Source organism: Homo sapiens, chromosome 1 (genome assembly GCF_000001405.40).
Source record: "Homo sapiens chromosome 1, GRCh38.p14 Primary Assembly".
Classification (NCBI taxonomy): Eukaryota; Metazoa; Chordata; class Mammalia; order Primates; family Hominidae; genus Homo; species Homo sapiens.
Window position 1 is genome coordinate 234,240,558 of NC_000001.11, and position 16,519 is coordinate 234,257,076.

The 16,519-nt window shown below is 42.7% G+C and overlaps 1 protein-coding gene across 2 annotated transcripts in view, besides 1 other annotated feature; it reads left to right on the forward strand.

Moving 5' to 3' along the window:
• SLC35F3 (solute carrier family 35 member F3) overlaps nucleotides 1-16,519 on the forward strand; it is a 419,836-nt gene that overhangs the window by 335,882 nt on the left and 67,435 nt on the right. The gene's annotated exons all lie outside the window — the stretch shown is intronic.
• Nucleotides 6,267-6,406: an enhancer, noted in NCBI's record as "active region_2746". NCBI's record gives its function as "activates an Ori minimal core promoter by ATAC-STARR-seq in GM12878 lymphoblastoid cells {active_cell/tissue: GM12878}" and the evidence as "EXISTENCE:reporter gene assay evidence [ECO:0000049][PMID:35858748]".

The window sequence follows — 16,519 nt, forward strand, 5'->3', positions numbered from 1 at the left end:
TCATGCCGCTGCACTCCAGCCTGGGTGACAGAGTGAGACCCTCTCTGAAAAAAAAAAATAAAAAAGCCAAATATGTATATATATAAAATGACAAGGAGGAGGTCCTAAAATGATGATGATGATCATGAGGTCATAAAATAATAATGATGATGATGATAACATAGTAGAACCCCAGGTAACTGAGTCTTCCTCCTTATGAAGATTCAGTTCAGATTAACCAGGTAGCTGATTTGGAGCCCACAGCAAGAAGGACAGCATTGTGCCCTGTCATTGTTTTAGGCTGTTGCAGGAGGAAGGAGCCTTTCTTGGCAGAGATGAACTTTGAGACAAGTCCTGACAGGAGGGGCAGAGAACTGATGTGGAACTTATCATTGTCATGACCTTCCAGGATATGAGCTGAAAGCCAGATGGAAATGTGAGGTGATCCATTTGTCTAGAAAGCAATGTCCTGTCAAGCTCTTGATGCTTTTTATTTTTCTAAAGCTTAAAAGCAAAAAGGAGAAAACATGCTAGTGCCATACAGAAGCTAAAGCAGATGTGTTTCTTTTCTTTCTTTTCTTTTCTGCTGGCACCCCTTTTGCCTTTATTGTATACAAATCCTAGCTAAATTGGAACGACCACCCTGCCCTTCATAGAAACAGACATTATACGGGCTTCCCAAATAACTAACCCACTTTCCTGCCACATGCGGCACAGGGGTACATACAAGTGTTGTACGCACAGGAGGCTCCAGGGATATAGAAAGGAATGAGACCACGTGTGGAGGGAAGGGACCTGAGCTTTGACTCAGGCTTGTTCCAGTTCTCAGATCCACTGTTTACACCCCACATGACTTTGGGTAAGTTATTTGTAAGGGCTCCTGCAGCTTCCGTTTTCTCATATTTAAAAATGGATCCAGGACAGCCGCGGTGGCTCACTTCAGTAACCCCAGCACTTGGGAGGCAGAGGCGGGTGGATCACCTGAAGTCAGGAGTTCAAGACCAGCCTGACCAACATGGCAAAACCCCATTTCTACTAAAAATACAAAATTAGCTGGGCATGGTAGCACATGCCTGTAATCCCAGCTACTTGTGAGGCTGAGGCAGGAGAATTGCTTGAATCCGGAAGGTGGAGGTTGCAGTGAGCTGAGATTGTACCATTGCACTCCAGCCTGGGCAACAAGAGTGACACTCTGTCTCAAAAAAAAAAAAAAAAAAAAATGGAGACAATAATGCCTGTTTACACGGTGGGCTACAAGGTTTGGGGTGCAAATCAGCTCGCCTGGAACATGGCCCTGGGTCAGTGCTGCAGTAACAGTGGTCACTGGTACCCCTGCTGCTGGTCAATGATTACCCGAGTGGTGATTATTATTGCTGTTCATCATCCAGTCTTCCTTGATGGCCTTTCTGCACATGCCATATTTCTTTGGGTAATAATCCATTTCTAATTGAGCCACAGGGTAAAGGCTTTTTGGCACTGGCATTCTCTCCCATATTATTTTGTGATATCACATTCCACATAAGCTTTGCTTGGCTAATGAAACAGGAGCCAGTGGGAACAGGAATCGTGGGAAATTGCTATGCTGGATTTTTAAACCAAAATCAAATCACATGCTTTTGGATAGCCAGTGTCTGTGCTAAGTGCTCCATAAGTCAGCCTCCAGTTCACCAGAATGCAGCTGTGTCTACTTCAAGCATGAACCAGAACAGATGGGGCCACATGCCTACCCCATCTTGGGCCAGGCCTCCCTTCCACCCGCTTCCCAGCCTGCTCTAGATCTGGTCCTGAAAGAGAAGGGGGCTCCACAAGGAGGGTCCCTAGGAAACTTCCTCTGATGCGTTTTCCAGCCTGGGTCATCCCATTCAAAGAGAGGTTCCAGCTGTGAGTGGGTTCACTGTGTCTTTCAGCTGGTGAACTTGTTCTCGGAAAGCTCTTAATTATTTAAAGTGCGTATTGGTTTTTGTGGCCACACCTCATACTGTCTAGCTGAGTTCGTTAAAAAAGACAAAAAATCCAATTGGCCAGAGGAATCTCCCTTTTCTGATATTTGGGCAAGTTCTATTCATATGCTTCCTGGATCATTTAAAATACAACTATACTAATTACATACACCTCCTAGGCTGGATTCTTTGTTGAGCAGAGAGAAAACAAAGATGATTTATGTACTTAATGTAACATTCAGGAGTGCATCAGAAGCATTTCACGCTTTTCTTACCTAAGTGCCTTATTTTATGACACTTACATTTAATGAGTTACTCTCAATCATATATACTTTATTAATTTATGACAAAATAAATTAAAAGCACTGGATATTAAAGCTCCCTTGTTGCAGGAACACATCATTAGAAACACTAGATAGCATTATTTTGCTACATGTTTCTCAGGGAAAAACAGAAGAGAACTTTGTCAAAGAAAGACTTTAAGTGTTTCACCAACAAAATGGAGACAGGCTTATCAGTATTTTACTATGAATTAGTGGGGGAGTAGGGGGAATGGGTCTTCCAAATGCTTATTGGTTAAAAGTGTTTTGTTTTGGCCGGGTGTGGTAGCTCATGCCTGTAATCCCAGCACTTTGAGAGGCCAAGGCAGGCAGATCATTTGAGGTCAGGAGTTCAAGACCAGCCTGTCCAACATGGTGAAACCCTGTCTCTACTAACAATACAAAAAAATTAGCTGGGCGTGGTGGTGCACACCTGTAATTCCAGCTACTCGGGAGGTTGAGGCACGAGAATCACTTGAACCTGGGAGACAGAGGTTGCAGAGATCACGCCACTGCACTCTAGCCTGGGCGACAGAGTGAGACTCCGCCTCAAAAAAAAATAATAAAGTGTTACTGGGGGTATGCTCACCTGCGTATCCCCAATAACACTTTATTATTAGATAACCGACTGTTATTAAAGTTGGACAAAAGTTGGTGTATTTATGCCCAGCTTAGAAAGTGCCTTTGTCTCTTGGTAAAGATGTTTTCTCGCATGTAGCAAGTGGAGGGAATTCACAAAGTAGATTGAGGGACACATGTAAACGTGCATTTTGCAGAATCCTTTTAGAGGATGTAGGAGGTGTAATAGATCTTCTCTAAAGAGGAAGGTTGGCACCTTCTAGGTTTCCTGGCCAAGCCCCCAGCTCTCAGGAGTCCTAAGCAAGCCACTGGTGTCCCGTTTGACTTTGCAAAACCACATCATTCTGAGACAGAGATGGGTGACTCTGAAGCCAAGATCCCTGCTCCTGCTACAGTGCAGGGTTGCTGCAGGGAGGGCTGTGCAGCCAGAGACTACTACATCTCCCAGCCTCCCCTGGCATCTAACTTGGGCTAAGTGACTTCCCTCCAAATGGCTAGCAGTCAACCAAGACAGATAATAAGCAGATGGGCATTTTCCTCCACTTCCCTGTTCCACTGGCCACATCACAGAATCCCCAGGCTTCAAGGGATTGCATAGCTGCAAGGTGGGAGAAGGCTCACCAACGGGTGAAATGACACCTGTCAACCAGTAACATGAATCAAAACTAAACTTCTGTGTGCCAAGCCTCTGAACAGAAGAGTTTGGCATAACAGCTAGCATGACATTGATTAGTATGATCTCCATCTCTCCCCACAAGCTCAGAGTTGGAGTCAGTCTGAGAGCCTACATCCTCTACCATGCATACTTAGATATCCTTATTGGCCAAAAGCTTCCATGTGGCTTTATTTTTATTCTGAATATAATAAAAATTTTTAAAGAGTATCTGGACAGAAAATGTCAATCTTTGAACACCACAAGGACAGGGATCATGTCCGTCTTGCTCACCTGCATGTCCCCAGCACCTTGCACAGTGCCCGGTGGGGTGCTGGTAGAAAGGGGTTGGGGGAAGGAAGAAACTATCCATGGGCAGTGGTGGTGATATCAATATCATGTTCACAATCAGAGTAGACTTGCTAAGATCAGCTCTCGGCAGGCAGTCTCCAAGGAGCAATGCAGGAATCATTTCCCTCTGTCCTTATAAGAAGCTGTTCCTCTATCATCCAGAATGATAAACTAATCCTATTCAGAAAGAGCCCTTGAATGACAAAGTAAGTTTTAGAAAAAGAAGTGCTTGATTATCACTTTTTTTTTTTTTTGGAAATTAGTCAGGTCTGAAATTAGTAGACTAGCAGAGGGGAAGTTCCATTATGCCATCTGATTGAACTGAGAGTAAAAACCCATCTTCAGGAAGTTTCAATTCCACATTTATACTGGCTAGAATTTCACAAGTTCCTAAAGCTCACTGAGTCCTGGAAGAGAAGAATTTAGAGGATTTGTGCATTTAGGGTCTTTAAAGTCCTGCTAACTTTTTTATCAATATAAAATATATATTATGTGTAAATGTGTTTTTTACATGCATAGACTATGTAATGATCAAGTCACTATTGGGGGTTTCCATCACTTTGAGTATTTGTCATTTTTATGCATTGATATCATTTCATGTCCTCTCTTCTCATTAGTTTGAAATACACAAAATATTGTTTGCTAAGCATCGTCACCCTAGTCTTTTTCCTTAGTACTCTTTTCTTCTATCTAACTGTATGTTTGTCCCCATTAACCAACTTCACTTCACTCCTACCCTCTACCACCACCTACCTTTCCCAGTCTCTGGTACTATTATTCTGTTCTCTGTGTCCTTGAGATCAAGTGTTTTTAGCTCCTGCATGAGTGAGAACATGCAGTATTTCTCTTTCTGTGCCTGGATTATTTCAATTAACAGAATGACCTCCAGTTCCATCCATGTTGCTGCAAATGACATGATTTCATTCCTTTTTACAGCGGAATGGTATTCCATTGTGTATATATGCCACATTTTCTTTATCCATTTGTCCATTGATGGACACATAAGTTGATTCCATATCTTGGCTGTTGTGAATAGTGCTGTGATAAACATGTGAGTGCAGGTATCCCTTTGAGATACTGATTTATTTTCCTTTGGATAAATACCCAGCAATGGGATTGCTTCCTGCTATGGGATTTGAGAACCTACATCTGTTTCAGTTACTATTACTCTTTAACAAACTAATCTGAACCTTAATGGCATTAACAACTCCTTTGTTGGCATCAAGGGATGGCTTTTCCCCTGCTCCATGATGCTTAGAGCGTGTGCTGGAGGGGGCAACTCAACAGCTGGGGGCTAGGCACATCTGTTGTCTTCCTCCAATGTCTGGAAGTTGATGCTGGTTGTCATGGGCCACCTAAGCTGGAGCTGTCAACCTGAGGGTCTACACTTGGCCTCTTCTGATGGCCTGGGCTTCCTCACAGGAGGGTGGTCCGTGGTAATCACACTGCGTTCATGGTTGCAGCTCAGAGCCCCAGAGGGATCAGTGGACACACAGCAGAAACTCCATTCCTTTTAGGACCTAGCCTCAAAGTCACATAGTGTCACTTCCACCATAGTTTATGTCAAGGCAGTTACGAGCCTGCCCAGTTTCAAGGGGGAGGGGGACATCAACTTTGCCTCTTGACTGGAGGGTGGCAAGATCATCTCGGGGAAGAGTACATGGAATGGGAGGTATTGCTGCTACCACCTTTGGAAAATATTATCTTCCACAGCATCTGAAGCAAAGGTGGTGTTTAGAGAGAGTAGTACACTGGCCTCTGTTAGGAAGATGTGTTACTGGGCTAGGAAAGGCTGCCAGTGGCAGAGGCTTGGGGTTTGGGAGGCAGGAGGAGTGGCTCAGATGGAGAATTCTACCAGGGCAGCAGCAGTTCACTTTCTCTAACCTGACCCCAGAGAGCAATCAGGACCCTGATTTACCCCCAAGCTTTTGGGTGCAGCTGGTCTAGCTTCAAGCCCTTCTAGACACCCTGGGACCTACCCAGGTTCCCCCAGACTTCAGCTGCAGCATCTGCTGTCTCCTTTCTCTGAGAAGCAGGGCCTGTATCAGTAAAGCAGAAAATAATATCAACCTGGATAGAGAGGACTAATAAAAGTGATAATAAATTATTCAGAGAGTGGAAAACTACTCTGGAGCTGCCAAATGATAAGAGCAAACACACGATGTGTTTTCTGTCCATGAATCTTCTGGATTCCTTTTTCCATACTGATGTTTTCCCCTTCTGAATAGGTGAAGTATTTTTATGCAAATAGTGCCCAAGAAGTACAGTAATGCAGGCCACTGACAACACAGTCATGTATAACCCAAGTCACATCCTTTTATGCACTGAACTGCCAGGGGACCTAGCATTAATAAAAACCACACGTAAAACAGAAACAGCCATATGCTGAGTTAAGGCATGAATAAGAAATCACTCCCAGAAGTGGTGAGAACAGCAGAGCAGAGTGCTATTGTGGCTCTGTAGGTTGAGTGCTCTGAGAATTGGGAGGCCCTGTCGGCTGCTGTATGTGTTCAAGTCAGATGGTGTCGGTCGGGGGTAAGGCCAGACCATGGTGCTGTCCTAGGAGCCAGGCACAGCACAGAGGAGGTGGCAGACACGGCAGGGTGTGATGGTCTCAAAATAGCAGAAACCACAGCCAAGTTCAAGACCCAGTTACCAGTTCATGGGGCTGGAAACCTGGAAACCAAGGTGTGAAACCAAACAGGTGGGAGCTTGAGCACCAGCAATGGTGTCTTAAATAGTTCCAAGCCCAAGTTGTATGGGAAGGTTGGGTGCTAGGTGCTTGAAACAAAAAAAGAAGAGAAACTCTGTGTGGCAGGGAGTAGTGGAATTATGTGAATGCATGGGTGCATGTATGCATGTGTCTATGTGTGCATATGTGTATAATAGAGCAATGGTTTTAAACTTTGTCATTTGATTGTTGGGTTGGTCAGTTGATTGGCTGGTCCATTGTTTGATAGTTTGGTTGGCTGTTCCATTGTTCGGTAGGTTGGTTGGCTGGTCCATTTTTAGGTGGGTTGGTTGGCTGGTCCATTGTTTGGTGGGTTGGTTGGTTGGTCCATTGTTTGGTGGGTTGGTTGGTTGGTTGGTCCATTGCTTGGTGGATTGCTTGGCTGGTCCATTGTTCAGTAGGTTGATTGGATGGTCCATTGTTCAGTGGGTTGGTTGCCTGGTTCGTTGTTCAGTGGGTTGATTGGCTGGTCCATTGTTTGGTGGGTTGAATGGCTGGTCTATTGTTCAGTAGGTTGGTTGGCTGGTCCATTGTTTGGGGGGCTGGTTGGCTGGTCAGTTGTTCTGTGGGTCGGTTGGCTGGTCCATTGTTCAGTGGGTTGGTTGGCTGGTCCATTGTTTGGTGGGTCGGTTGGCTGGTCCATTGTTTGGTGGGTTGGTTGGCTGGTTCATTGTTCAGTGGGTTGGTTGGCTGGTCCATTGTTTCATGGGTCAGTTGGCTGGTGCATTGTTTGATGGGTCAGTTGGCTGGTGCATTGTTTGATGGGTCAGTTGGCTGGTCCGTTGTTTGGTGGGTAGGTTGGTTGGTCCATTGCTTGGTGGGTTGGTTGGTTGGTCCATTGCTTGGTGGATTGCTTGGCTGGTCCATTGTTCAGTAGGTTGGTTGACTGGTTCGTTGTTCGGTGGGTTGATTGGCTGGTCCATTGTTTGGTAGGTTGAATGGCTGGTCTATTGTTCAGTAGGTTGGTTGGCTGGTCCATTGTTTGGGGGGCTGGTTGGCTGGTCAGTTGTTCTGTGGGTCGGTTGGCTGGTCCATTGTTCAGTGGGTTGGTTGGCTGGTCCATTGTTTGATGGGTCAGTTGGCTGGTCCATTGTTTGGTGGGTTGGTTGGTTGGTCCATTGTTTGGTGGGTCGGTTGTTTGGTCCATTGTTTGATGGGTCAGTTGGCTGGTCCATTGTTTGGTGGGTTGGTTGGTTGGTCCATTGTTTGGTGGGTTGGTTGGCTGGTCCATTGTTTGATGGGTCAGTTGGCCGGTCCATTGTTCAGTGGGTTGGTTGGCTGGTCCATTGTTTGATGGGTCAGTTGGCTGGTGCATTGTTTGGTGGGTTGGTTGGCTGGTCCATTGTTTGATGGGTCAGTTGGCTGGTGCATTGTTTGGTGGGTTGGTTGGCTCGTCCATTGTTTGATGGGTCAGTTGGCTGGTGCATTGTTTGGTGGGTTGGTTGGCTGGTTCATTTTTGGTTTCAGGGGTATTTAGCAGAGGAACACTTCCTTCTAATTGAAAAACATCACATAAAGAAATGCCATATGAAAAAGAGATTCAAGAGGAGCTGTTCTGGCTATATTCAAAAAGCACTCAGATTTTTCCCAGGCTTATTTCAGATCCTCTTGATCAGAGGCTAAGCCCCAAGATACAAATCTGTTCCTGCCAGAAGCACCATGTCACAGCCCAGAAATCAAACTCTGTTCCTTGTTGCCACTTAGGTGACCAAGGTGTCTTCCCACACTCCCTGCCCTTCCAGAGTCATAGACCCCTACTCAGAGTGAAGGCCAGGTGAAAACCTCACCTGTGCAGCCACCAGGGAAACCTTCAGATACGTGTGAGGGATCCTCCAGGTTTCTTCTGTTGGAATCCCTTGCTTGTACAGCAAATCCAGAGGGAGTAGATTTTGCAGGTGCTCTGGGTGAATCTTAGGGAATGCACCCCAGGAAGCAACCCACTGGCCAGCGAGTAAGTCAGGATTTCCTGAATCTCTGCAGGGATTCGCTAACTAATCGTAAATGGAAAACACAATATCCTCCTGGGAGTGGCAGGGCTGGAGCTAGGAGTGAGGCAATTGTATCCTACCCACTCAGTAGGACCCTCACCTTGCATGAATGGTCTCATCCTTATCACCACCTCCAGGCGTGTATACTGTCATATTCTTCTGCTCAAGTTCTCTCTACCCCTTTACACATATCTAGCTTCTTTCACAGGTTTTTCCTCTATCCCATACGGAAGCTTCCATCCTCCCTAGTGAGAAAGAGGAATTCTTCATGGCCTTGCCTAAAGGAGGCCGGGCTGTGTGTGAACCCTCAGGCAGGAGAGGAACCTCCCCCTTATCCCATGGGTCTGAACAGATTCCTTATGCCACCTCTTGTGGCACATTTGGTGGGCATGTCGGTGAGGGTTTCTTGCCCACCTTCATCCAAGTACCAAGTACATCTGGAGGAGAGGGGTGGTCACTGGTCTGCTGTGGGTTGGGGCAGGGGTCCTATGGGAAAGTGAGATTGACTGCCCCACCCCTGGCCAGGGCCCTGCGTTTTTATTTTGTTGCAAGTAAAATTGGGTCCCCAAAATTATGTAGTCATCCTAAGGGTAAAAGCCAGTTTGAATTCAAATGGTCTCTCACCATTATCGTTCATGGGTGAACTTGACACTTTAGCCCAAGTAGATGATTGACAGCACAGGTATCTGGGGCATAATAACTCAGACAGACCTCTGTGCGTCTAGCCCTGAGGCTGCATCCCCCGAAGTGTGTTCCACACAATGTTAGTAATGCACCATGTTAATTAGGCTTCTGTGGTCAAAGCAGTTTGTGGAATGTATAGTTTTTGACTGCAGAACTCCTTACTCTTTAAAGTGCTAATATGTACCGGAACCCTCCGAGGGAGTATACAGTATGCCGTGTCTCCCAGCATATTTTACCAAACTAGGAAAAAAGCTAGAAATATATATGGGAGAAGAAGGAAATTATAGGCCCTGTAGTAGACCTTCTTTTCCACTGAATATAACACCTGTGCCAGCATTCTAAGAAGCACATTTTTGAAGATACTATTTATTCAAAATAAAATAAGAGATAGATGGAACTGTGAGCTAAAAAGAGATACAATATGTGGACACTGGTGACTATGATAGTTAGAAAACAGTAATTTGTTTAGGACAAAGCAAAGGCAAAGAGGAGGCTAAATGGAGTGGGGCAATGGCCCCTGTCTTCGCCTGTTTGTGTTGCTATAAAGGAATACCTGAGGCTGGGTCACTTACAAAGAAAAGAAGTTCCTTGGGCCGGGCGCGGTGGCTCACGCCTGTAATCCCAGCACTTTGGGAGGCCGAGGCGGGCGGATCACGAGGTCAGGAGATCGAGACCATCCCGGCTAAAACGGTGAAACCCCGTCTCTACTAAAAATACAAAAAATTAGCCGGGCGTAGTGGCGGGCGCCTGTAGTCCCAGCTACTTGGGAGGCTGAGGCAGGAGAATGGCGTGAACCCGGGAGGCGGAGCTTGCAGTGAGCCGAGATCCCGCCACTGCACTCCAGCCTGGGCGACAGAGCGAGACTCCGTCTCAAAAAAAAAAAAAAAAAAAGAAGTTCCTTTGATTCATCATTTTGCAGGATATACAAGAAGCATGGTGCCAGCGTTTGCATCTAGTAAGAACCTCAGACTGCTTCCACTCATGATGGAAGGTGAAGCAGAGATTATATGACAAGAAGCAAAAAGAGAGAGGAGGGGGCACCACACTCTTTTTAACAATTGGCTGCCACAGGAGCTAATAGAGTGAGAACTCACTCATTACTGCAAAGACTGCACCAAGCCATTCAGGAGGGATTTGCCCCTGTGATACAAAGACCTCCCATTAGGCCCCACCTCCAGCACTGGGGATCAGATTTCAACATGAGATTTGGAGGGGCCAAACAAATGAAACCATAGCAATCCCCTAGCAAATGAAGGCTTGAGGTGCCTCCTGCTTGGAACAGATGACAATGCCAACAAAGTCTGAAAGGAACAACTAAGAGTAGTGGAGTATTTCGACATCTTGACCAATGCTGGATGCCTCATTAAACTAGACTTTGGTCCTCTAATAAATTTCTGACCTCCTTTAGGATGATTTCATTGCTCAAGAGGTAAAGGAAATAGCAAGGACTGGTTTGACCAACAAGGAAAGACTGCTTAGTGAGTGAAGGTTACAGGGACAAAAGGGAAAGTAACCATGGCATCCTAAAGTTTATGAAAGGAAAGTGCATGGTGAGTGGATGTATGATTTTCAATTAGGAGATCATTTGAGTTTGACCCTTTCGCCCGATAGGGTAATGATGGGAACAACAGCCAGGTAGAAACTATATATATAGAAGAAAAGAGCCCATTTACAAACTAAACCAAAAAAAAAAAAAAAAACACACACACACACTTTTAAATCCCTGGTAGTAAATGTAATAAAAATTTATAGAACTGCATAAAGAAAGCTTTAAAACTCTCTCAAGAATCAACAACATAAAAATGTCCATCCTTCCTATGTTAATTTATAAACTGAGTGTTATCCCAATTAAAATGTCCAAATGTTTGTTTTAGGAAATGGACAAGAATACTCTGGAAAAGAAGAGCAATAGGGAGAACTAGCTGTTCTACAGGTTAAAATATACTCTGAAGCCTCAGTAATTAAAGCAATGTGGTACTGGTACATGTTCAGACAAATGTCCTGAAATAGACCTAAATACAGAAAGAACTTTAGTACATAATAATCTTGTATAAGTGAAGGAAAGATACATTACTTAGTAAGTAATACTGGGGCAACTAAGAAACCACCTAGAAAAAAAATAATTTGATCATACCTCCTACTGTAAGCCTAGATAAATTCCAAATGGAATTTAGGTGTAAAACCTGAAATCTTACCAATACTAGATAAAGACATGGAGCAATTATTTTATGACTTGTCTCACTGTGGTACAAAGTTTAGAAGTTATCAAAGAAAAGATTGATTGTAAATTAAACTACTTTTTTTTTTTGAGACAGAGTCTCTCTGTCTCCCAAGCTGGAGTGCGATGGCATGATCTCAGCTCACTGAAACCTCTGCGTCCCAGATTCAAGTGATTCTCCTGCCTCAGCCTCCAAAGTAGTTGGGATTATAGGCCCACACCACTACGCCTGGCTAATTTTTGTATTTTTAGTAGAGACGGTGTTTCACCGTGTTGGTCAGGCTGGTCTCAAACTCCTGGCCTCAAGTGATTCGCCCACCTCAGCCTTCCAAAGTGCTGGGATTATAGGCGTGAGCTACCATGCTTGGCCCTAAACTATATTTTTTAAAAATGCTTAAAGACTACTGCTTGGCAAAAAATAAAAATAAAAAATAATAACGAAATCACCATCAGCAAAGTAAGAATCCAAATTAGCAAACTAGAAAAAATATGTGTAACGCATATGATAAACAAAGGGCTAATCTCTGTTAACAATCAACAACTCAATAGAGAAATGAACAAAGGATATAAACAGATACTGCATAGGAAAGGACATTGAAATGACTCAAATACATATGAAAAGATGCTTACTTTCACTCTTACGAGAGAAATGTGAATTAAAACATATTTTTATCTGTCAAATTAACAAATAAATTTTAAAAAGGAGACTTGATAATATGCCATGTTAGCAAAGCTGAAAGAAAACAAGTACTTAATACATTGCCAAGGCAGTACTCACGACACTGATAAACCTTATGTGGAGTAATTTTTATAACAGTACCCATCAAAATCACAAAGGCATATCTGCTTTGACCTGGTAGCTTTACTCCTAGGAATTTACATTAGAGGATGTACAAGCAAGCATGGACGATAAAGTTTGAACATGATATCATTACAGCATTGTTTGTAATTAGCTAAAGATTAGAAACAACCTAAAATATTCAACAATCAGGAACTGGCTAAAGAGATTGTGGTATACAACCTTTGGTAGAATGCTGTTCAGCTGGCCAGGCGCAGTGGCTCACGCCTGTAATCCCAGCACTTTGGGAGGCCAAGGCGGGTGGATCACCTGAGGTCAGGAGTTCGAGACCAGCCTGGCCAATATGATGAAACCCTGTCTCTACTAAAAATACAAAAATTAACTGGGCATAGTGGGGCACACCTGTAATCCCAGCTACTCAGGAGGCTGAGGCAGGAGGATCACTTGAACCCGGGAGGCAGAGGTTGCAGTAAGCCAAAATGGCGCCACCGCACTCCAGCCTGGGCAACAAGAGCAAAAAAACTTCATCTCAAAAAAAATAATAATAATTAAAAAAAAAACAGAATGCTGTTCACCTGTAAATAAAAGGGCTAGTGTTTATGCAATAAGGAAAGATCTCTAAGAAATATTGTTCAGTGAAAAAGCAACCATTTGAATTTAAAAAAAAAAAGGAGAATAGATATTTGTATGGCTTGAATATTCATTTAAAACCTCTAGAAGGATAAACAAGAAAACTAAAAACAGTGGTTTCCTGTTAGTAGGATGGGAAGAGGGCAAATGGTTAAATGCATTATGTTGTCAAAAAGAAGTATATAATTTAAAAAAAACAGCAACAACTAGAAAGAGTGGGGGCAGTTCCAAAAAAATAAGAACCAAGAGCGTCAGTATGACCATCCAGGGTGTTCTCTGATGAGCTCAGTTTTTAAAAGCATGTATAGAAAATGGACAGAGAGGCACATACCCAAGGCTGAATGCCAAATAAGGTCAAGAGCAGCCTCCAGATGAAATAAGCCTTGAACAATGTCAAGGGCAAGGACATTTTTTTTCAGTCATTGTGAGGGAGTATATAACAAGGAAGGTCAATGTCACTGTGAGGGGTAGAGTGAGATGGCAGGATGCTAGCTGGTGACAGACAGAAAGGAGAACCACTTCCCTATTATGACCCTACTGCCTCTCACATGGGGATCCTTTAAGTCCTGCTTGTACTTGGGACTCTGAACTTCATCCATGTCCAAAACCAGGCAAAGGCTGCCCTCCCATGTGGGAAAAATTATTCTCTCGCTTGTGACTCTCTGGATTCATTGACTTCCATGAAGACTGGCCTTGGTTTTCCTTTGGCTTAATGATCTAAGAGTGCCATATTTGGCTTGTCTGTGGGCTGGTTCATTTTTTTATGCCTTTGGCTTCTTCAAAACTTCCCTATGCACTGGCTTTCTATATCCTTAGTAGTGTTCACACTCTTCTCTATTCTCAAAACCCAACCCATCTGGAACTCATTTCAGCCTCAAGCAGTTACATCAGACCTAACAAGTCAACCAAGAAGGCTCCCACCAGGCATTGGGCCTCTTCTTTCCAGAGGTCACCAATGGTGCAGATGTGGGTTTTACTTTTTTGGTGTCAAACCATCGGAGAGAAATGTCACCATCTTCTCCCATCCAAGAATAATAATCTTTAAATAGGGTAAGGACAATGAAGCACAAACGTTATGAAGAAGGAGGTAAAATCTAAGAAAGGAGACAAGATATAAACACACTTAGCCACTTTAAAAAATCTTCAAGTCTTTAGGCCCAAGTTAATTCTATCCCAGGGTAATAAAAAGGCTTGCAAACAGGATTGTAAAAGATACTATAAAGAAAAGGAATTATTTTGGAAGATCATTTCTCAGTTTTCTAAATGGTGAGAAAAAATTCTCTTAACCAAACAGGCATACCACTCACTCTCTGTAAAGTTCACGAATAAATTATTAACCAGTTTGTAAGCACTTAATAAACAAAGGTGTTGCTAGAAGCAAGCATAATTTCTTTATAAAAATATGCCAAATCAGCTGAGAAATCTTTGTCAACATGTTTTAGTTCATCATTGCCAATCTGGAGGGAGACATCCAGATGTTCACCACTGATCCTGACTTATTTAGTACTTTTGTTAGTAACTAAGTTGTACAGATATGACCAAGGTCTTTGTTATTACAAGATAATTTGTTTTGCGTAATTTATTTTTAAATGTCATTGTTAATTAAAAATGTCTGCTCTGTGAAAGAGATTGTTAAGAACATCAAAAAATTAGCCACCAACTGGGAGAAAATATTTACAAAACATCTGATGAAAGACTGATATCTAAAACGTACAGAGAACCCTTAAAACTAAACTACATGAAAACCCAACTCAAAAGTAGGCAAAAGATCAAAAAAGATACCTCACCAAAGATGATATACAGACAGCAAATTAGTATATGAAAAAATAATGTCATGTCATCAGAGAATTGCAGTTTAAAACAACAATGAGATACCACTACACACCTATTAAAATAGCCAAGATCTAGAACACTGACAACACCAAATATTGCTGAGAATGTGGAGCAATAGGAACTCTTCTTATTCATTGCTGGGGAAATGCAAAATAGCACAGCCACTTTAGAAAACAGCTTGGTGTTTTCTTACAGAACTAAACATACCTGTATAAAAGATCCAGCAATTGTGCTTTTTGGTGTTTACCCAAATGAGCTGAAAACTTATATCCACACAAAAACCTGCACACAGATATTTATAGCAGCTTTATTCATAATTGCCAAAAATTGGAAGAACCAAGATGTCCCTTGGAAGACATTGAACAACCTTAAATGCATATTACTAAGTGAAAGAAGCCAGTCTGAAAAGGCTATAGACTGTTTGATTCCAGCTATGTAACATTCTGCAAAAGGCAAAATTATAAAGACAATAAAAATCAGTGATGATTTGAACCCTGGAAGGGTTGGGGATGAAGGGATGAATCAGTGGAGCTTGGGGGATTAAAACACTTAGAGCAGTGAAATAATTCTGTATGATACTGTAATGGTAGATACATAACATTATGCATTTATTTAAAACAAAAACAAACCAAAAACCCTACAAATCCAAAACTGTACAACACAAAGAGTAAGCCCTAATTTAAACTACAGGCTTTAGTTAATAATAAAAAATCATGACTGGTTCATCAATCATAACAAATGTACATCAATGCAAGATATTAATAATGGGGAGGAGGGAGTATATGAGAACTCCCTCTAGTTTCTGCTCATTTTTTCTGTAAACCTAAAACTGCTCTGAAAAATAAAGTCTATTCATAATTTTAATGTCATAAGAGTGGAAAAAACATTTGATTGGAACTTTTGAAAAATGAATCTAAAAATGGTGAAAAGCATTTTCAAAATATAGTTTACCAATGCAATGATGAATTATTAGAATTAATAAAAAGTGAATTAAGTAAATTTTGGGAGTGATGGAAATATTCTATATCTTGACTGTGGCTGAGAAATAGAAATAAAATTCGAAGCTCCCCTGAATGATTGAACAGACCTCCTCTTGGCCAAGAGGACCCCAGAAGAAGCTTGGAAGCTGAATTTTCAGCTATGATGGGATGGTAGGACAAACCTCCTTATATCCTCTCCTTTGCTAACTGTCGTTAGGCTCTTTTGCCTAAGGGCTTGCCAGAAACCAGCCCTTTCAAAAGACTTCATCAGTGATTTCACAGCCTCATGACTCCTCCTCTCTTTTGTGGTTTGACAAAACAACCAACCAGCATTCCTTCACTGACCACGGAGTGGTTCTGGCCAGTCTATGAATGATGTGCATGAGGGTTTTTGTATCCTCTGCTTCACCTTTTGATGTCAGAGAACCAAAAACTCCACCATCAGATTATGCTAATGCCACCATTTGTCTAACATGGGACCCACAAAGGAGCATGAAGCTCAATTGTGCATGTGCACGTTTCTCCTTTTGTAAATATTCGTGACTGCTCCTATTGCTTATTGAATATGTATATTTGGCCACCCCATCCAGCATAAATCCCTGTCTTATTCTTCTGACCCTTGAAGTGCTTGCTCCCAGCTTCCTGGCCAGAGGCTACGCTTCTCAGCCTGTCCCAGTGGCCACGCTTCAGGCTGCAACTGTTTATGAGAAAGCTCTCCTTTCTAAATTTATGAACCTTGTCACTCTTCAGTTGATACAATAATAGTTTCATGGTAATAAAAATTTATCAAAACACATGGATACTTACAACTTAAAACGGGTGCATTTTATTGTAT